The following is a 20,854-nucleotide window of genomic DNA, read 5'->3' as shown; positions in this document are numbered from 1 at the left end:
CTGGATATTAGACCTTTGCCAGATGCATATTTTACAAATATTTTCCCCTACTCTGTAGGTTGTCTGTTTACTGTACTAATAGTTTATTTTGCTGTGCAGAAGCTCTTTAGTTTAATTAGATTCCATTTTTCAAGTTTTGCTTTTGTTGCAATTGCTTTTGACATCATCGTAATAAAATCTTTGCCAGTGCCTGTGTCCAGAATGGTATTGCCTAGGTTTTGTCTTCCAGAGTTTTTATAGTTCTGGGTCTTACATTTAAGTTTTTAATCCATTTTGAGTTTATTTTTATATAATTGTTTAAGGAAGGAGTTTTGTTTTAATCTTCTGCATATGGCTAGCCATTATCCCAGCACCATTTACTGAATAAGAAGTCCTTTCCTCATTGCTTGTTTTTGTCAGCTTTGTTGAAGATCAGATAGTTGTAGGTGTGTGGCCTTATTTCTGGGCTGTCTATTCTGTTCCATTGGTTTATGTGTCTGTTTTTGTACCAGTACCAAGCTGTTTTGGTTACTGTAGCCCAGTAGTGTAGTTTAAAGTTGGGTAGCTTGATGCTTCCTGCTTTGTTCTTTTTGTATAGGATTGCCTTGGTATAGTAACTCTTGAAGTTGGATAGTTGGATCAGTCCTACAACTTTGTTTCTCTTCGTCAGTATTGTGTTGTCTGTTCTAGGTGACTTGTTTTCCCTTTTCATTTAAACTTTAGAATTAGTTGTTGATATTCACAAAATAAATTTCTGGGATTAAATCTACAGACCGAGTTGAGAATAAATGACATTTTAACAATATTGAGTCTTCTCTCAGTGAACATAGAATACTCTTCCTTTATTTAGATTTTAAAAATATTTAAAACAAATATTTTTATTTCTTTCATCAGAATATTGTAGTTTTCCTTATAGGGATCTTATACATATTTTGTTAGGTTTATTTCTACATACTTCAAAATTTTTTGGTGTTAATATAATAATTGATATTGTGTTTATAATTTCACATTTCAGTTGTCATTGCTGATGTTAATTAAAGTCAAAACAGTTGAGTTTTGTGTATTAGCCTTTTGTCCTGCAATGTTTCTATAATCACTTATTAGTTTTAGGAGGTTTTTTGTTCATTATTTGAGATTTCATACATGGACAATCATATCATCTCGGAACAGAGATAACTTTATTTCTTTTTTTCTAATTTATATACCTTTTATTTCCTTTTCTTGTCTGATTACATTAGCTAGGACTTCCAATGGTGAGAGGGGACATCTTTGTATTTTTCCTGATCTTAGCAGGAATACATCTAGTTTCACACCCTTAGGTCATGTGTTGGCCGTAGATTTTTTTTTTTACATATTTTAAAAAGATTAAGTCGAAGAAGTTTCTTTCTATTCCTGGTTAACAGAGAGTTTTTAATCATGATTTGCTGTTGGATTTTGTTAAATGCTTTTTCTGTATTAATAAATTTGATTATATAATTTTTCTCTTTAGTCCATGAAAGTGGTGGGTTACATTAATAAATTTTCACACCAGCCTTGCATACCTGAATTAAATTTCACTTGGTCATGGTGTATGATTATATTTATACATTGTTGGATTTGATTTGCTAATATTTTGAAGAGTTTTGCATCCTTGTTCATGAAAACTATTGATCTGTAGTTTTACTTTCTTGCAAGATTTTTATCTGGTTTTGGTATTGGGACAATTATGGCCTCATAGAATGAATTAAGAAATGTTCCCTCTGCTTCTATTTTCTGGAAGAGATTGCAGATAATTAGCGTCATCTTTTCCTTAAATGTTTGGTAGACTTTAACAGTGAAATCCTTTGGGCCTGGTGCTTTATGTTTTGGAAGGCCATTAATTATTAATTCAATTTATGTAATACGTATAGGCATACTTAGATGATCTATTTCTCTTTGTATGAGTTTTGATAGATTTTCACTTTCAAGGAATTGGTCCGTTTCATCTAAGTCATTACATTTGTGGGCATATTATCCTTTTTAATATCCATGGGATCAGTAGTGATGGCCCTTATTTCATTTGTGATTTTAGTTATTTACATCTTCTCTCTTTTTTTTTCTCTCTTGGTTACTTGGCTATGGGTTTATCAGTTTTGTTGTTGTTTTCAAATAATCTGCTTTTAGTTTTGTTGATTTTCTCTATTGTTTTTCTGTTTTCAATTTTATTGATTTCTGTTCTAATTTGTTATTATTTGCTTTCTTTTATTCAGGTTCATGCTGTTATTTTTTCTGTAGTTTACTAAAGGTGGAAGGTTAGATTATTAATTTTAGATCTTTCTTCTATTCTAATATATGCATTTAATGTTAGAAGTCTCTGTATAAGTACTTCCTTCATTGCATCTCACAAATTTTGGTAACTTGTATTTTCATTTTTGTTTAGTTAAAAATATTTTTTATTTTATCTTGAGATTTCCTTTTTGACCCATTTGCTGTTTAGAAGTGTGTTGTTTAATCTCCAAATAGTTGAGGATATTCTGGCTATCCTTCTGTTATTGATTTGCAGTTTGGTTCTACTGACAGAACCAAATCTCCATGAGAGAAATCATACTTTGTATGATTTCTGTACTTTTAAACTTGTAATCTCAGCTACTTGGGAGGCTGAGGCACGAGAATTGCTTGAACCCAGGAGGTGGAGGTTACTAGTGAGCCAAGATTGCACCACTGTACTCCAGGCTGGGCAACAGGGCAAGAACCTGTCTCAAAAAATAAATACATAAATAAACATAAATAAATAAATCAATAAAGTTTATGGCCCAAAATGTGATATATCTTGGTGAGTGTTCCATGTGAAACTGCAAAGAATATGCATTCTGTTGTTGTTGGATAAAATAGCCTACAGCCATCAACTAGATCCAGTTCTTTGGCAGTGTGTCTAGTTTAACTACGTCTTTACTGATTTTCTGTCTGCTGGATCTGTTAATCCCTGATAGAGGGGTGCTGAAGTCTCCAGGTATAATAGTAGATTGTTTATTCCTCCTTGCAGTTCTACCAGTTTTTATGTCATGTATTCTGATGCTCTGTTGTTAAGTGCATATGCATCAGAGATTGTTATGTCTTCTTGGAATATTGACCTCTATCATTATGTAATACCCCTTTGTATTCCTGATAATTTTCTCTATTCTGAAGTCTGCTTTGTCTGAAGTTAAGATGGTTACTCCAGCTTTCTTTTAATTTGTGTTAGCATAGTATATCTGTCTACATCCTTTTAGTTTTCTTAAAATTAATCTTTTTATTCTTCCCTTTACTTTTAACCTATTTGTGCCTTCATATTTAAAGGGGATTTCTTCTAGACAACATAACTGGGTTTTATTTTTTAATCTACTCTGTCAGTTTCTGTCTTTTAACTGGCATACTTAGACCTTTATATTTAAAGTGATTATTGATGTTGTTAGATTAATAGCCACCATATTTATAACTGTTTTCTATTTGTTGCAATTGGTTTTTGTTTCTTTTTAAGATCTTCCCGTGTTTTTCTGCCTTCTCTAGTTGTAATTGAGCATTTTATATTATTTTGGCATGTAAGTTATACTTCTTTTAAAAAATATTTCTAGTAGTTGCTCTAGAGTTTGCAGTATACATTTACAACAAATTTAAATCCACTTTCAAATAGCTCATGTGTAGTACAGGTACATATTACAGAGTAATACCCGTTTCTCCCTTCCAGCCTTTATAACTGACTGGCATTTATTTTACTTATTTATAAGGCATAATCACCCAAGATGTTGTTGCTATTATAATTTGAAAAACAGTTATCTGTTAGATCAATTAAGAATAAGGGAAATAAATGGCTTAAGATCTGAGTTTCTCTTCTGTATCATTTTCCTTCTCTCTGAAGAACTTTTAAAATTTCTTGCAAGGCAAGCCTACTGGTGACCAATATACTCAGAAGTTTTGTTTGTCTGAGAAAGTCTTATTTCTTTTCACTTTGAATGTTAACTTTGCAGTATACAGAGTTCTAGATTGGTAGTTTTTTTATTTTTACACTTTAAATATTACGTCCTACGATCTTTTTACTTGAACAGTTTGTGAAGAGAAGCCCATTGTAATTCTTATCCTTTTTCTGCTATATATGTAAGTTACATTTCTCTCTCTCTCACTTTTTTTTGCTGGGGAATATTAATTTACCATTATTTTTGCTTTTTTAACTTTTAAGTTTAGGGTTACATGTGTTTTTTTTATTTATCTTGCTTGATGCTTTCCAAGCTTCCTAGATCTGTGGTTTGGTGTCTGTTATCAATTTTGAAATATTCTCAGCCATTATTCAAATTTTTTCTATTCTTTTCCACCTTCTCCTTCTGGTATTCCCTTACACATATGTCACACCTTTTGAAATTGTTCCACAGTTCTTGGATATTCTGTTCCATTTTTCTTCATTCTTTGTTTTCTTCACATTTCCATTTGGGAAGTTTCTACTGACACATCTTTAAGCTCCTTGATTCTTTCCTTGAAGGTGTCTAATCTACTGGATGAGCCCACCAAAGGCATTCTTCATTTCTCTTGCAATGCTGTTGATTGCTAACTTTTAAGAAATTTTCTATTTTTAGAATTTCCATGTCTCTGCTTACATTTTACCCATCTATTCTTGCATCTTGCCCCACCTTTTCCATTTGAACACTTAGCATATTAATCATAGTTATTTTACATTTCTGGTATGATAATCCCAAGATTTCTGCTATATCAGAGTCTGGTTCTTTCACTTGTTTTATCTCTTTAAACTGAGTTTTTTGTTGTTTTTATACATGACTTGTAATTTTTTGTTGAAAGCTGGACATGATGTATGGGGTAATAGGAACTGAGATAAACAGACCTTTAGTGAGAGCATTTATGATTATCTGGCTAGTAGTAGTGCTGTGTTTACTGTTTGCTATAGCTGTAGGTATTATAATTAATTTTATGTGTCAATTTTAATGAAGCCATGGGCTGCCCAGATGAAATGTTATTTTGGAACGTGTCTGTGAGGGTATTTCTGGAAGAGATCAGAGTTTGAATTGTGCTATGGGCAGGCATCATATAATCTATTCAGGGCTGTAATAGAACAAAAGACACAGGAAGGAGACACTCATCCCTTTTTTCCTACCCAGCTTGAGCTGGGACATCTCATCTCATCTCCTGCCCTTGGACTGGGATTTACATCATTGGCTTCTGTGGTTGTTAGGCCTTCAGACTTGGACTGAATTATACCATTGCATTTCCTGGGTCTTCAGCTTGTAGATAGCAGATTGTAAAACTTCTCAGCCTCTATAATATATAAGATATCTATCTATATCTATCTATACATATATGTATATAGATCTATCTATCTACATATATATATAGATCTATCTATCTATCAATCTATCTATCTATTCTTAGCCATTATTACCTTAAATGTTTCACATATTTTTCTACTCTTTTCCATTTTCTCCTTCTGGTGTCCTTTTACACATATGTTATACCTTTTGTAATTGTTCCACAGTTCTTGGATATCCTGTCCAATATTATATATTGGTTACATCTATATCTATATCTATACATCTTATTGGTTCTGTCTTTCTGGAGAACCCTAATACAGTAGGTATCTGAGACTTCAATTTTTTCTGTTGTTCTTGTTTTTCTCTCCCTTCTTGTCTTTACCTTTTCCTAGAAACTCCTTCTTAAGTAGAATCTGGGCCTTGCTGTTCTTTAGCTGTCATCTGCTGTTCTTATGCAGGAGTCCTGGTGATGAGGTGATAAGGTGGGAGAAAAGGGTATGTACTTGCTCTATAAGTCTATGAATAGTGAGTCTATTACCCCAGGCTATGACCTTAGCTTCCTTCTTCTTAAGATTAAAAAAAAAATGTGTATGTGTGTATACTCACACACACACACACACACACACTTACACACACACATTCATGTACTACTGGTTCTGTTTCTCTGGAGATCACCAACAGATTAAGAATACATTACATATTAATCAAACATCATGTGAAATCGTTCTTCTTATATACAAGTCACTAGATTAATAGCGCATAATACTTTAAATTTAAAGGTTCGAGACAAAGTTGCTTTTTAAATTCAGAACTTTAATAAATTGAAGACCAATTTAAACCCATATAGCTTTAATTAGTCTTGTTAGCTCAAAACCCCAGCCTTCCACTTTTGCAGAAATTTAAATTTACTAGCTGTGTGGCTTTTGTGACCTTAAGTCAATTAAATTCTTAGTTTACTCATCTGGAAGTGGGGATCGTTTTTGCCTTTTTATTTTTAAGGATTTTTGTGTGAATCACAGAAGTTTATGAAAACTCTGTAAGCTGTAAAGGGCTACTCTCCTTAGAAGTAATTATCATCAAGTATAATTGGTGAGGATTCAACTAATACACACTGCGGTCACATTACATTGTAACTGGCCCTGAAGCCTTAGAGAAGGACAGGTGGGGCCATGGAACCCAGGTGGAACATGACTGCATTAATAACATTGAATGATGCTCTTGACATTTTACTTCAATTTTTCAGATTATGTCAAGAAGACAGTCTGCTCAGAAATAGACTTTACATGTTTCTAAAACTAATTGCTTCTTTCATAATGAAAAATCATGCCCAGGCTCAGAGCCTTTTGAAGGCAATTTTATTTGGCAATAATTCAATAATTTTTATAAAATAGTTATAATTACCTTCTATTTACATCTGATGATACTAACTTTCCATTTACTATAATGATATGTAGTATCCTTTTAAAATAAATGCATTTAAATGAAAAAACTTGTCTTAATTGTACAAGTGAGATGGGAATGTGGCAAACACTGGGAAAACGGGATGTAAAAGATTGAAGATGGGAGAAACACTACTCTAAAATGCTCTGAATGCCGAAAAATATTTCTCTGTACTAGTGTGCATCCTCTCATCTACGAATGCAAGATGCCACCTTGGAATCCTGAAGAGTGGTAGGGTGTTCTCTAGTTGCCTTTCTTGCATTAGCTTGTTCTGTTTTTCACACCCACCTTGTAAGGTAGGAGTCAGCATCTCCGTTTTGTAGATGGGTAAATGAGATGTGAAGAGTGTCCTTGTTCAAGGTCATACTGTGTCAGTGCTGTAGCCACTATTTAAATCAGGGGCTGTGGGGTAGAAAACAGGGCAGGGAAGGGTCTGTGTGGAGAAGGTGATAGTGATGCAATGTCAGCATCACTCACTCACTCAAGGTCAGGCTCTGGGAAGCTGACTGTGAGAGAATTCCAGAAGATAAGAGCCTTGACACCTTTAACTCTTTAACTAGGGCCTAGCAGAGGCAGGATAGTCTTTTCCTCCTTCAGGGGAAAAATGCAGTTTGCCTTCTGGCAAGTTTTGTTCAGATCTCTGGTTCTGACTGTGGGCAGATGGTTTTTAATAAATGTCCAGAGGGAGAAGGAATGAAGAGAGACCGAAGGAACAAAAGGAGAAGAGAGGAAAAGATCGCTCTGAGAGCTTCGATTCCTTGGGAGTCCCACATTCTTCCTGGTTCCTTCCTAGGGTGTCATGGAGATATTTGAGGCATTTTGCTAAGGTTGAAAATGGGATGTTTATAGCACCTCAACCCTGGCAGACAGATGGAAACAATTAACACCATATCTTAAAAATCCCATAGTTGGAAGCTGCTCAGCAGTCCTGATGTTTAAAATCCCTTTCTGGATGGTTGGAGCAGAGACAAAAAGAGACAGGAAATATGATGTGCTCATCACCTTTTATGTGCTGAGCACTTGGGCAGTTCCATGAGGTCGCTGCTGCTGTTAGCCCTATTTACCAGATGATAAGACTGAGGCTCAGAGGGGTAAGTATGTGCCCTGTGCCCAGGGTCAAGGAGCTAAGAATTCAACCTCCCAAAGCTCATGTCTTTTTCAGGCAAACAGGTAGAGAATGCTGAAAGACAAAGAGCCTGGGGTGGTCTGAATAAAGCCTCCCTCTAAAAAAAGGTAAAGGTTGGCAGGGTATGGTGACTCACACCTGCAATCCCAGCACTTTGTGAGGCTGAGGAGAGCGGATCACTTGAGGTGAGGAGTTAGAGACTAGCCTGGCCAACATGGCGAAACCCCATCTCTACTAAAAATATAAAAATTAGCCTGGAGTGATGGTGGGAGCCTGTAATCCCAGCTACTCAGGAGGTTGAGGCAGGATAATTGCTTGAACCTGGGAGGTGGAGGTTGCAGAGAGCCGAGATCACGCCACTACACTCCAGCCAGGGCGAGAGAATGAAACTCTGCCTCAAATAATAATAATAATAAGTAAATAAAATAAAAAAATAAAAAAATAAAAACCGTAAAGGTATCCACATCCTGATTTGTGGAACCTGTGAATGTTACAGGCAGAAAAAAAAAAAAAGACTGGGAGATTTAAAACAGAAGAGGAGAAGGCGATGTGACCACAGAGGCAGAGATTGGAGTGATGTGGCCATAGCTGAGGAATGCGGGCAGATGGCAGAAGCTGGAGGAGGCCTGGGAAGGATTCTCCGTCAGAGCCTGTGGAGGGACCATAGTCCTGCGGACACCCTGACTTCAACCCAGTCAAACTGATTTTGGATTTCTTGTTCCTGGAACTGTGAGATAATAAATTTATCTTGTGTTAGTCTGTGAGGTTTGTGGTAATTTGTTATAGAAGGCACAGGAAACCATACAGGGCCTCAAATAGAATCCTGAGGGACAACATTTCAGGGACCATGAGAGGGAGAAAGAATGCCGAGGAGGTGAGGACAAACCAGGAGTTTGGAGAAACAAGGAGTGTTCCAAGGACAGACAGTGGCCTGGTCCCCTGACCCACGAGGCCAGGAGTTGTGTGACTCATCCCCATCCTGCAAGGCCTCCTCTGCTTCCCTTGGTTCCATGCCTTCTCTTCCTGGGCAGTGGCACCTTCAGCTCCAGAGCTGAGAAGGTCCTTAGGGACCTCTGAGACCTTGGTCCAACCTCTGTCCCAATGCAGGAGTGTCTCCAGGGCATTCCAGAGGGTTGTCAATCTCGCTAACCAGCCACAGATGAAGGCCAGAGGTCATGGATGGTGTCTTGATGGAGAGTTGGGGAGGGGAGATGAATGAAGACAAAATACCGAAATGTGACCAAAATCTCACAGTTCAAAAGCCACTATATAGTCAGTCAATCAATATACAATTAGGGATAACAGAGATCCTTACTTCTTCAGAAGCCAGCACTTTACAAATGCTGCAAAATATCTTGGCAACTAATGCATACGGTGTGCCGCCCGGGTGAGGTGGCTGATCCCTGCAGCTGACACTCGGGGATTGACTGGGCAGCTGTCTAGGGGACAGGGACCCAAGGGTTCTTCCTGGGTGGGGGGGCAGGGAGCAGATGCGAGCTTTGCCCTTGATTAAAACCATCTCCACTTACAGGACTGGTGAAGATCAGATAAGCTAAGGTGTTTGCAGTCAGCCCTCTGGAACTCTCCCTTCCTTCTAGTTAATACTCAGCCACAGGCCAGTGTCAAAAGGCTTCTCCCTGGCTTTGCAGTGTGGGTTGCACGTGCTCTGCAAACTAGCAGGTAGGCCAAGATTCATACTGCTCCTACGCCAAAATGCAAACTCTTTTTCTTGGCCTAAGAGGTCTGCGGGCAGATGGGACCCGCCCACCTCTCCAACTCCACCTCCCACCTGCCTACCCCTGGCTTACCGCCCTCACCTCCCTCACCATGAGCGGGCTTCTCTCAGTTCTTGGAATCTGCCAAACTCTGTTGTGCTTGCTCTTCCCTCTACCTGGGAAGTTTTTCCCATGGCTGGTGCCTTCTCAACTTCCAAATCTCAGCTTCAGTGACACCTCCTGGAAGTGCCTTCCTTGACCACTTCAGCTAAGATGTCCCCCACACCAAAAGCTTGTTATCATGCATTGCCTATTCTTACTTCATTAGTCTATCACTCTACAGAATTATTTTATTTGCTTACCTTCTCGTTGGCTGTCTCCCTCTGCCCATCCCCATGACTCTCAGGGTAGGTTGTTAACATTGTTCCTCATTCTACTGGTAGTACAGAGCTTGAAATATACCAGATCCTTGACGAGTATTTATTAAATGTGGTAATGGCTGAGGGAAGGCTGTAGGGACAGCCTCACAGATGAAGCTCAGGGCTGCTGTTGCCATGGCACATGGGAGAGGGAGGCCCAAGTGGAAGCACTAAAGATCAAGGGCAGGGAAAAGATTCTAGCCCGAGGCATGCCAGGGAGAGGGGCTGCTACAGGCTAAGGCCAATAAAAGCAAGTCCTGGCAAACAGGATGCTCCTCAGCCTGGAAACTCATTGGAAAGGGCCCAAAGAAGCTTCTGGATGGGCTAGTGGGATCTCCAATGGCAAAGAAGACTTCTATGCTACTAGATGAGCCCCGAAGCCTTCAGATAGTGGAGTCAGTATAGAGGGTCAGTCTATGTAGGTGAGATCTGGGAAGGTGTATGAGAGATAAGGGTAGTGGAGGGGCCCCCCCAAAATGCCCATTGACTGGATGCTTTCCCAGAACATCCTCACTGTCAGATCTCTCTACGCAGTGGGATCCCTGCATCCTTTACATAGTTAATGATCCCCTTTTCAGTGCATGATACAGCCCACCAGACCATGAAAAACTTGGAGAGGAGCCCAGAGGCATCTTGGTGTGATGGCTAAAGGCTAATGACTATTTCATAGCCTGAGATTACAGGCCCCATAAAGTGCTTCACAGCATTTCCACAGCCAGCATAATATGGTGGGGAAGAGCTCTGCCTCTGAGACCAAGAGCGTAAACCCAAGTCCAAGCTGTGTGACACTGGCCAAGTCACTTAACCTCTTTGTTCCTCATCTTTAAAATGGGCATGATGATAGCCCTATTTCAGAAGGCTGTCATGAAGCTTAAATGAGTTAGCACATAAAGCACTCTGAACAGTGCCTGGCGTACAGTAAATGCTATGGAAGTGTATTGTCGTTCAAGGAAGTAGCAGTGGGCTTTGAAATAGTGTTCACAATATCACACAGAGATAACAATGTTAATTGTGAGTCCAGGCTGGTTGTTAAGGGCTGGTGGGCTAGTGTAGAGAATTATCTTACTTCATAATCTATCACAAGCCCAGTGTGATGGAACACGGTGAGGGTGGTAAGCAAGGGACAGGGAGGTGGGAAGTGGAGTTGGAGAGGTGGGCAGGGCTCATCTGCCTGCCAGACCTCTCAGGTCAAGAAAAGGAATTTGCATTTTTGCCTAGCAGCGATACAAATCTTGGCCTACCTGCTAGCTTGCAGATTATTCATAACCCACACTGTAGTCCTGAGGCCAGCCAGGGAAATTCAGAGCTCTGGATGGTTCCCAGGCTTCCTGCACTCTTCAGAAACCAACTTGCCACTGCGGACAGATCATAACATTCCACCGTAACACTGTGGTTGGTCAGGCAGGGAGTTGGTGCCGAAAACTGGAATGCACACATTTCCTTCTGTAGAGGGATCGTGCTTGTGCATTGGAACAAGCATGACAACTTTTTTTTTTTTTAATTGAAAGGGTGATGAGTAATTTCCTGTCACTGACTCCTGGATCATGGTTATATTTGATATGGAAGTTGTGATCCTGACACGTCCAATAACAAAAACAGCAACTTCAAGCCTCTAGTGACTCTTAGCTTTAACAAAAAGAAGGGTGCTTGATTGGCAAACCCGATCAGTTATGTGCTTTTCCAGATGTTGGATGCTCCTTTTAAAAAAATTCTGATAGGAGAAAAAAGGGTTCCAATCAAAATACATTTTTATTGTCTTTTACATTTACCTATGTTATTATCTTTATGGGTGCTCCCATTTCTTCATGTGGATTTGAGTTACTGTCTAGTGTCTTTTCATTTCAGTCTGAAGGACTCCATTAGGATTTCTCGGAGGGAAGGGTGTGCTAGCAACAAATTTGCACAATTTTTGTTTATGTGAATAGGTCTTAATTTCTCTTTCAGTTTTGAAGGATTGATTGCTTTGTTGTCTACCAAATTCTTGTTTGACAGTCTCCCCTCCAAGTATTTTGATATTGGGTGGGGTTTTTCTAACTGCTTTGTGCCTAGAAAAAAATGCATTAAGTGTTTGAGGCTGGTGTGGCTAGTTAAGACCATACGTCATCCAACTGCCTTTTGGTCTCCATGGTTTTTGATGAGAAATCAGCTGTTCATTTTATTGGGCAGTCCTTGTTTGTGATGAGTCCTAAATATTTTCTCCCATTTTCCTCCATGAAAGTTTATAGTTTTATGTTCTATATTAAATCTATGATTCATTTTGAAGTAATTTTTGCATAAGGTGCAAGGTTTAGGACCATGTTCAGCTTTTTTCCATGATGGATCCAGAACTATTTGTTGAAAAGTTTGTCCTCCCTCCATTGAATTATTGTACTGAAATAATGGTCTTCACTATCCACACCAGCCTAGAAGACTTTTAATGCATTTTTGTCTAGTCATAAAGCAATTTAAAAAACCCCACCCATTCAATATTTTATTTTGGGATTTAGAGATTTTTTGTATAAGAATCATGGTCTTCTTCTTCCCCCTTCTTATCTTTAATAAGCAACCTTTCACTGTGGCTATAGAGAGTTAGAAAAATGTGGTGGAATAGGAATGCCTAGTCCATAAGTCTCAAACAGTTTCTAAAGAGAGAGGAGAGATAAAAAAACGAAAGAAAAGGAAAGGAAAAGGAAGGAAAGGAAAGAAAAAAGAAAAGAAATAGAAAAGAAAAAGAGAGAGGGCCTGGAGTTCAGCTTCTAATTCATCACTTTTTACTTGATTACCTTGGACTTATTTCCTGTCTGTAAATGGAAACAATACTCCCTTCTTCACAGACTCCTTGTGATAAGTGACGGCTCACAGGTCAAGCTTTCTGAGGGGGTCCTGCTGCGGCTCCCTTTCTGCCCCAGGGAGAGGTAGCAGACCAAGCCTCTTTCTCCTGAAACCAGCCTCTCTTCCTGAGGCTGGAGGAGGCTGGTAGCAGAGGTGTCTGCAGGGAGCTGGGCAGCTGGGGAGTAGATCTTGGATTAGTGTGTCAATGGGGGATGGGGGTGCCTCTATGTGCTCCCCATCTAGCGCCCGACACTGCACACCCGCCCTGCTTGAGCTCTGGCTGTAGAGAAAGATCAGTGAGGATGTAAATGGATTAGGAAAAGCCCGCCTGGCTTCTTCCGGTGCCACTCAGCACCTGGGTCTCTGGAGATTAGTGGGTGGCAGCTTTGTCAGGGAGATAGACATTTAAACATCAGCTTTGGTCTAAAGGCCCTGCTTACCAGAAGAGAGGGAAGAGAAGACTAGCCCTCTTGAGCCTCCTCCAGTTTATCTGTGAGGCTGCCCCTTTCTGAAACATGGGGCTTATACTTCTGTCTAGTGAGTCGCTCTGGCACTTCAGGCAGGTGCTGGAGAAAGGGGTGGTACTGGCACCAAATCTGACTCTACATGTGGCAGCCAGAGATGAAAGATGTGAATCACGTACTGCAGGCAAAAATGTTAGCTAACTTCTCCAGAGAGAGAAGGAGAGGAGGCCACACACTACCCAGGTGTAGGTTACTCTCTGCAACAGCTCGCACCCAGCTGGGAGGTGCTGTTCTCATGTTTCATTTGGTTGTTCATTTATTTATTCATTTAACCTTTCATTTGGGAGTTTTATTGTTTGTTTACTCATTCACTGAGAACCGACCAGCCAACCTGGTCAGTCCTCCAATTAACATTTCTTTAACTCCTCTGTGTGCTTGGCTCTGTGCCTGACCCCAGGGACCCAGGTGCTGAAAACACAGTGCCGGTGTGCAGTAGTGGCCAGACCATGCCTGGCTGCACCAGAGTGGCGAGTACGGGCCCGGACATGTTCCTGGACATTGCAGAGGCCCTGTCACATGCATGTCTTTATTGTAGGCATGAGCCTGTCCTCTGTGACGCTGGCCAGCGCCCTACAGGTCAGGGGTGAAGCTCTGTCTGAGGAGGAAATCTGGTCCCTCCTGTTCCTGGCCGCTGAGCAGCTCCTGGAAGACCTCCGCAACGGTAAGAGAGTGTTTGGGGGCAGTCAAATCACAGGGAGTTGTATGTGAAGCTTCCCACACAAACACAGTTCTGGCTGCTGCTGCTTTTTTAAATCAACCTCTGAGAGCACAGAACAAGGTTGCTGCTGCTTGATCTGTGATTACTCTGAGGTATTAGAATGAGTAGAAGAATAGCACCTATCCTTGGAGCTGCACTGGGAGGGCAGGCCTGACTCTTGGACCCATGCCATGTGGCAGAGTCAAAAGAAAGGCTTTGCTTCTGCCTTGGTGTTGCAGCATTTCCAGGCATGCAAAGCTGGGAGGATTTAGGAAGAGAGTGGCTGCAGTGCTATGGGTGTCTAACAGCACATGGGCTGTCTCTGGGCATAACCAGAGATGAGAGGCAGGGTGTGGTCACCCAGGACACCCCTACACTCTGTCCACCAGATGTTGCACTAGTCTGTGCCCCATCAGAAGGCAGACCTGGCTGGGCACGGTGGCTCACACCTGTAATCCCAGCACTTTGGGAGGCCAAGGTGGGCAGATTACCTGAGGTCAGGGGTTTGGGACCAGCCTGGCCAACATGGTGAAACTCCATCTCTATTAAAAATACAAAAAAAAAAATTTGCCAGGTATGGTTGCGCTCGCCTGTAATCTCAGCTACTCGGGAGGCGGAGACAGGAGAATTTCCTGAACCCAGGAGGCAGAGGTTGTAGTGAGCCAAGATTGTGCCACTGCCCTCCAGCCTGGGCAACAGAGCAAGACTCATCTCAAAAAAAAAAAAAAAAAAAAGGCAGACCTACTCTGTGTTCTAAACAGGGGAGGTTAATAGAAAGAATTACTAAACAGTGTTTGAAGAGCAACTGTAAGGCATAAGAAAACGCTGGTGTGGTGGCTTACTCATGTAATCCCAGCACTTTGGGAGACCGAGGCGGGTGGATCACCTGAGGTCAAGAGTTCAATACCAGCCTGGCCAACATGGTGAAACCCTGTTTCTACTAAAAATACACACACAAAATATTAGCCGGGCGTGGTGGCGTGCACTTATAATCCCAGCTACTTGGGAGGCTGAGGCAGGAGAATCACTTGAACCCGGGAGGCAGAGATTGCACTGAGCTGAGATCGCGCTATTGCACTCCAGCCTGGGTGACAAGAGCGCGAAACTCTGTCTCAAAAAAAGAAAAAGAAAAAGAAAATGCTAGTGGGTCTCCTAAGGCTGAGGGCAGGTACCCAGTGAGGGATAAACTTTGAAGGGAAGCCCCCTTCCCTGTTTGGGGTTCAGATCTGTGGGAGGAGCTGTGCTTGCAGCCCATGATGATGGTAGAATTTGCTGGTGTGCCCTGCCAGAGGTGGTCTGCAGTCATGGCCCAGGCAATAGCCACCGGTGGCCAGGTAGGGAGCACGCACTGCAGGTGGGGGTTGGGGCGACCCTTTAGGGTGTAGGTGGGCTCGGGCGAGTCACCTCTCTGGAGGTTGGTGTGGGCAGGAGGGCCGCTAGAGTCCTGTGTAGATTTGAGAAGGTGGTCACATGTCAAGTTCCGGCCTTGAGGTGGCCAAGTGACCTCACATCCTGGGCATGTGTTCTGTACAGAGCCCAACCTCCAGGTGGCCTCACACTTGCACTAACTCCAGAAACTGTGGGAGAGATAAGGCCTCCTATAGTGTCTCTTCAGAGCCCTCTAATGAGAAAGCTGCACACTGTGCTCTCAGTAATAAGGCCTCCTATAGTGTCTCTTCAGAGCCCTCTAATGAGAAAGCTGCACACTGTGCTCTCAGTACAGGAGAGACCTAAGGTAGCGGTATCCAAGGATGACTATGGGGCTCCTAGGCATTAAGGTCCAGAACAAATGCTGAGTACCCACACTCAGGTGTCAACTCACAGGTCACACGTGCTTGGGGGCTTCAGTGCATACAGCAGAGGCTCCTGGAGTGAAACATTACACATGTTCTGTGAGGGCGATGGGTCCCAGCATGGGCCTATGGAGGAGGCTGTGCACCTGTGCCTTCAGCGTCATCTTCTCCCTCTTCCCCACCCTGGAGGTTCTGATGAACAGCTACGGAGCTCCCAGAAGACCAGCTGCCTTGGATCCTGGTCTGTCTCTAGAGAACTCAGGCTTGTGCTAAATTCCAGGTGTGCCTGACCCTCTCTTTACCTTTTACCTTGAGACTCTTGGGCCACAGATGAATTTAGGTGCAGGTGCTAACTTCCTGGCCATGGCCACAGTCACCTTTTATTATACATGTTCCCATGCATCAGGGTTGAATTTATTCTGTTCCATGTCTCCTCTGGGTCTTGCTCACATTCAGTCCCAGAGATGGGTACTGCCAGGCACCTGCTGGGCACAGTCCCATGCTGGCACCCCAGATGGAAGCTCTGTCTCTACAGCCCCATCACTGGCTTGGTTTCAGATTCCTCGGACTATGTGGTTTGCCCCTGGTCAGCCCTGCTTTCTGCAGCTGGAAGCCTTTCTTTCCAAGGCCGTGTTTCTCATATAGAGGCTGCTCCTTTCAAGGCCCCTGAACTGCTACAGGGACAGAGTGAGGATGAGCAGCCTGATGCATCTCAGGTAAGCTGTGCAGCTACTCTGCAACTTCTGAGTCCTGTGCCCTGGGAAAGGCCTGTCCCAGCGGCAGCCTCCCCAGCTCCCAGCTCAGCCTTGCAGAGCTTGGTTCTCAACACCAAGCCAGAGTGGGTTTCAAGAGTTTTATTCCCAGGATTTCTTGTCAACAACTTACTAGCTCATGGACAAGGGCAAGTCCACTTCTCTGAGCCCCAATTTCTACATTGGTAAAATGGGGTTAATGTGGCTTAATTGATCAGGTTATTATCAATATTCAAAAAGAAGTGTTGAAAAGCTGTGGTTAAGTGGTCTGGCACATTGTTACCATTGGCAGTATGTAGCAAGACACCTCAAAATGACCCAACACGTCCTCAACTAGGAATTTATTCTAAGGCACAAGTAAAGATAAATTTAGCTGCAGCAATGCTGATTGTTGTATTGCTGACGTTAGTGATAAATTGAAAACAAGCTAAATAGTGAGTGGGAGAGGACATGAGACAAAACACCATTAAAATGAGGCTGTAGAAGCTTATTTAATGTATTGAAAAGAAATTCAATATATGTGCACATAATATTATCCAAGTTTGGTTAGAGAGGATGAAAGAGAGAGAGAGAGGAAGTTCTAAAAATACATACACCAAAGTGTCTGCGGTGATTGTTTCTGGATGGCAACATCAGTGGAGGTTTTTGGTTTTTCAACAATGGACATGTTTTGCTTCTGAACAGCAGAAGTTTCCAGTAAACATCATTTTTAATTTCAAAGAGAATTTTAATTCTCTCAAAGGAGAGAATGGTGCAAGGCAGCCACACAACACTGGATGGGGCATGGTGGGTGTTTCCGCAGAGAGTTCTGTTTCTTCTTCCTCGCCCTTTCATGAGAAAAGTGCAGATGTGAAAATGCTGCTACCCTCGGGAGGCATTCTGGAATGGGAGCTGCTTTCCCTCCAGGCTCTGAAAGGCAGAGAATGGGGATGTGGTGGTTTCCAGATTTGGTTTGTCTGGGTCCACATGTCTGTAAGTCAGCCCACAAAAGTGAAAGCATAAGAGTTCCAGTTCCAGTGACCCCAGCTCCAGCACCCCCTCCCCCCTGAAATCCTGGAAGTCACTCTGGCATCCAGGCCCACATACCTTCTTACACTGCCAGGACCCCAGGGGTGAATCACTGATTCCTGGATTGGACACAGACTTGCGTGCCTCTCAGGTCTGTTTGGGACTCTTGGCTCCACCTACACTGAGTTGCCTCTTATGCCCTGGACTCAGCTAAGATGTCACATATTGACCCCTGGGACTGGGATTTCTGTGTGACTGCTAAAGGACCACGCCAATGCAACCTGAGAATGCAGGGGAGTTACCTTCTTATGGGGGACACTTAGCCAGTGGTAAATGAGAGTCTGGAGGGGACCTAAGAGGATACGTTTTCCCTCCTCTTTCTCTTGTGGATGGCTTTGTGCTGTGCAAGCCTTGCAAGCTTTCTAGAGAAGTCCTGAGTGCTAGGAAGCCCTGTCTGCTGCACTTCAGGCTGTGCTCTGTTGCTTGTTGCAAGGAGATGGCCAGCATTTTGACCCTGCATATCACATTGGTCCCTGTCTCCCTTCCCATTTTCTCTACACTGTCATTGCCCTGGGCTTGCAGCCCCTGAGTGAAGGGTCTGCACTTAACCCTTGCCTCAGGCTCCACTTTCTGATGTACCTGAGCTAACACAGATTTGAGTGCTCCTGACCATCCCAGTACTCACTGGTTAGGATCAGGCATCACCCTCCTGATTGCAGGTTGGCCTCCATTGAGTACCTTATGAAGGCCCAGTCACTTCTCTGCCCAGAGCGTCTTTGAGCTGGAAAATAATATGTTCCTTCCTCCTGCACACTTTCCTCCAGGCAGAGGCACGAGGACTCCAGTAGATTCAAGACTAATAGGTTGAGTTAAGAACTGGCTAAATGTATTGCTGAGTCCTGGCCAGGAAGATGAGAGTGAGTGTGAGCTGGAAGAGATCCAGTATGAGAGGGACTGAGCTCCGAACTAACCAAACATTGGTTTAGCGCTCTAGGCATATGAAGCATGGCAAGTGGAGTGGGCTTTAAGGGGCCAAAGCCACCAGCCTCAAGCCCTGTTTATTAGGCAAGGAGGCAGAGTGACCAGGTAACTTGATCTCTTTCAGCATCTCTAACACTCAGTTCTGTTCATCACTGTTCTTTTCCATTCATTACAGGCTCCTCTCTTCATCCAGTTTGGCATGGGTCCATGAGGGGTTGGTTGGGCAGCTAGGAGCTAGGAGAATGGTCCCTGGACAGGCTGTGCTCAGAATCCTCCCCCAGTCCTGGGCCTCGTTCTGGTGCTGGGAGGGTGTACCCAGACCCCTCTCCTTGGACCAACATCTGCCCTAAACAGTGCACTGACATATTTCCCCAACTACTTGGCATCTTAGCCTCAGGTGCAGGTCAGGTGGAAGGTGTGGGCAGGTCTCTAACTACAAGTCATCTGTGCTGCCAGTACCCCATCCTATGCTCATGGCAGACATCACCAATCAAACATGGTGTTCTTTCCCACTGAGCCAGGAGTTGCCTTCAAAATCCTTCTCACCAGCCTCTACTGGCAGTGTCTACCAGTGAGCTGAATTTAGAATTTTGGATGAAGCCTTTTGTCACTGTGGCCAAGGCCTTGCCCTAAGACACTTTTAGACAGAGCCCTTAGAATCCAGGTGAGCTCCCAGGTGTGGGTGGTGCCTCTGGCAGTGCTCAGGATGCTGGAGCTCTGTCTGCACTTCAGTCCCTGCAGCTCCATGAGTCTCTATGCTCCATCATGCTAACCGTGTGGGAAGACCAGCCTTGCGGGTGGCAGTCACTGCAATTGGTTCTGGGAGCTTGTTGGGTAATGAGAAAGAAGTGGCTGCCTACCAAGCCCCTGCTCTTTGGGTCCTTTCTCTGGAAATGGGGGTGCAGCTTGTGAACTTTCTTGCATGGTATCTATGCACGTTCATCTGAGGGGTGGGAGCTGGTTTCAGGATATAATTTCAAACAAAGATGAGAGCTAATGAGTTGTCACAGGTGACATTGAACACATCTTGACCTTGAGATGTGAACAACCAAAACCAAAAACTAAAACCACTTGTATTAAACCAAGTGGGGGGCTCAAATAACTGTGTGTTTTTACATGCAATGTTTCATTACCTCATTGTTTCCTTCTAAAATCCCAAAAATCATTTCCTGAGAAGAGAGATCTTAAGGGAAATGTGCCTTGTCAGTTATAATAGAAGCCCCACAATAAACACCAACTGACATTGATTGAGGACTGGTATAATCCAGAGGCCATGTAGACAAGTGGGGACAATTAAAGTACCTACGTCACAGGATTGCAGTGAGGACTAAATAAGTTTATATGGGTAAAAGACTTAGAACAAGGCCTGGTATATTGTAAGTGCTCTATGTCCAATAATAATAATGGTAACAATAATAATAGTTAATATTACCACCTTCGGGTACTTTTGACTTGATCTTTATTAGAATTCAGGCAGAATACTCATTTTTAAGATGAAGAAACTGAGGGTCAGAGATGTCAAACAATGCTCTTCCCATGACATCATTTTGCTTCTTGACAAGATATGGTGCTTTGTAATCAGGCTGAACTGTAATGTGTCATGGAAACAGAAGGCCTAAAATACAATGGCCAGGGCCAAAGATATGGTTGTTAGTTACTAAACAAGAGGTCTAGGGATTGGTCAGCAGCCGTTTCATGTCATCAAGGATCCAGGCTGTGTATTTCCATTCTACCTTCCCCAGTGGCTGGCTTTCTGTCCTATGCTTGCTGCCTCATTGTCACGGAATGGCTGCGAAGACTCCATGTATCAATCACATCAATTTTGAAGGCAGGAACAAAGGGGAAAGTGTGGGGCCAGTCACATGTGTCCTTTTGTCAGTAAAGCAAAAGCCTTATCAGAAGCCCCCTAACAGATTTCTCTCACGCCTTTCACCAAAACTGAGTGTCATGGTTTCTGCTAGAAAGCAAATTTCTGGCTTTCTAGCCTCCGGAGTAGGAGGTAACAAGGGTTAAGGGAGTTGCAGATGGTGCTAGACTCGCCAGACAACAGTGTCTGTTCATGTGGAAATTGGATTGTATTTTTCTTGCAGAGCCATGGAATAACAGAGATGATTGAAATCTAATCATGTACTCTTCTTTTGGGCAGATGCATGTCTATTCTTTAGGAATGACCCTCTACTGGTCAGCAGGGTTTCATGTTCCGCCACATCAGGTTTGTAAACAAGATACTCCAAGTCTTGCCGGGCTGTGTCTCTGGGTTTATTTAGTGGTTTTCTCCTGGGCAGGGACCACATTTACTGAGCACACATAATGCCACTCTCCCGTCCTCTAGGTCCTAGGCAGGCGTTGAGAACTTATCA

The 20,854-nt window shown here is 42.7% G+C and overlaps 1 protein-coding gene across 6 annotated transcripts in view, besides 1 other annotated feature; it reads left to right on the top strand.

Annotated features, from left to right (window-relative positions):
* FRMPD2 (FERM and PDZ domain containing 2) overlaps positions 1-20,854 on the top strand; it is a 118,337-nt gene that overhangs the window by 9,406 nt on the left and 88,077 nt on the right. For 3 of the 6 annotated variants that reach the window (NM_001018071.4, XM_047424652.1, XM_011539327.3), the window contains exons 2-4: positions 13,799-13,924; positions 16,312-16,469; positions 20,641-20,706. In NM_001018071.4, the coding sequence (NP_001018081.4) occupies positions 13,799-13,924; positions 16,312-16,469; positions 20,641-20,706 (350 nt within the window). 6 annotated transcript variants of the gene reach the window in all.
* Positions 17,925-18,426: an enhancer, noted in NCBI's record as "H3K27ac hESC enhancer chr10:49455107-49455608 (GRCh37/hg19 assembly coordinates)". NCBI's record gives its function as "activates a minimal SCP1, AML or CMV promoter by ChIP-STARR-seq in primed H9 embryonic stem cells {active_cell/tissue: H9 hESC(primed)}" and the evidence as "EXISTENCE:reporter gene assay evidence [ECO:0000049][PMID:30033119]".

Source organism: Homo sapiens, chromosome 10 (genome assembly GCF_000001405.40).
Source record: "Homo sapiens chromosome 10, GRCh38.p14 Primary Assembly".
Taxonomy (NCBI): domain Eukaryota; kingdom Metazoa; phylum Chordata; class Mammalia; order Primates; family Hominidae; genus Homo; species Homo sapiens.
Note: the sequence above shows the minus strand (reverse complement) of the source record. Positions and strands in the feature narration are given on the sequence as shown.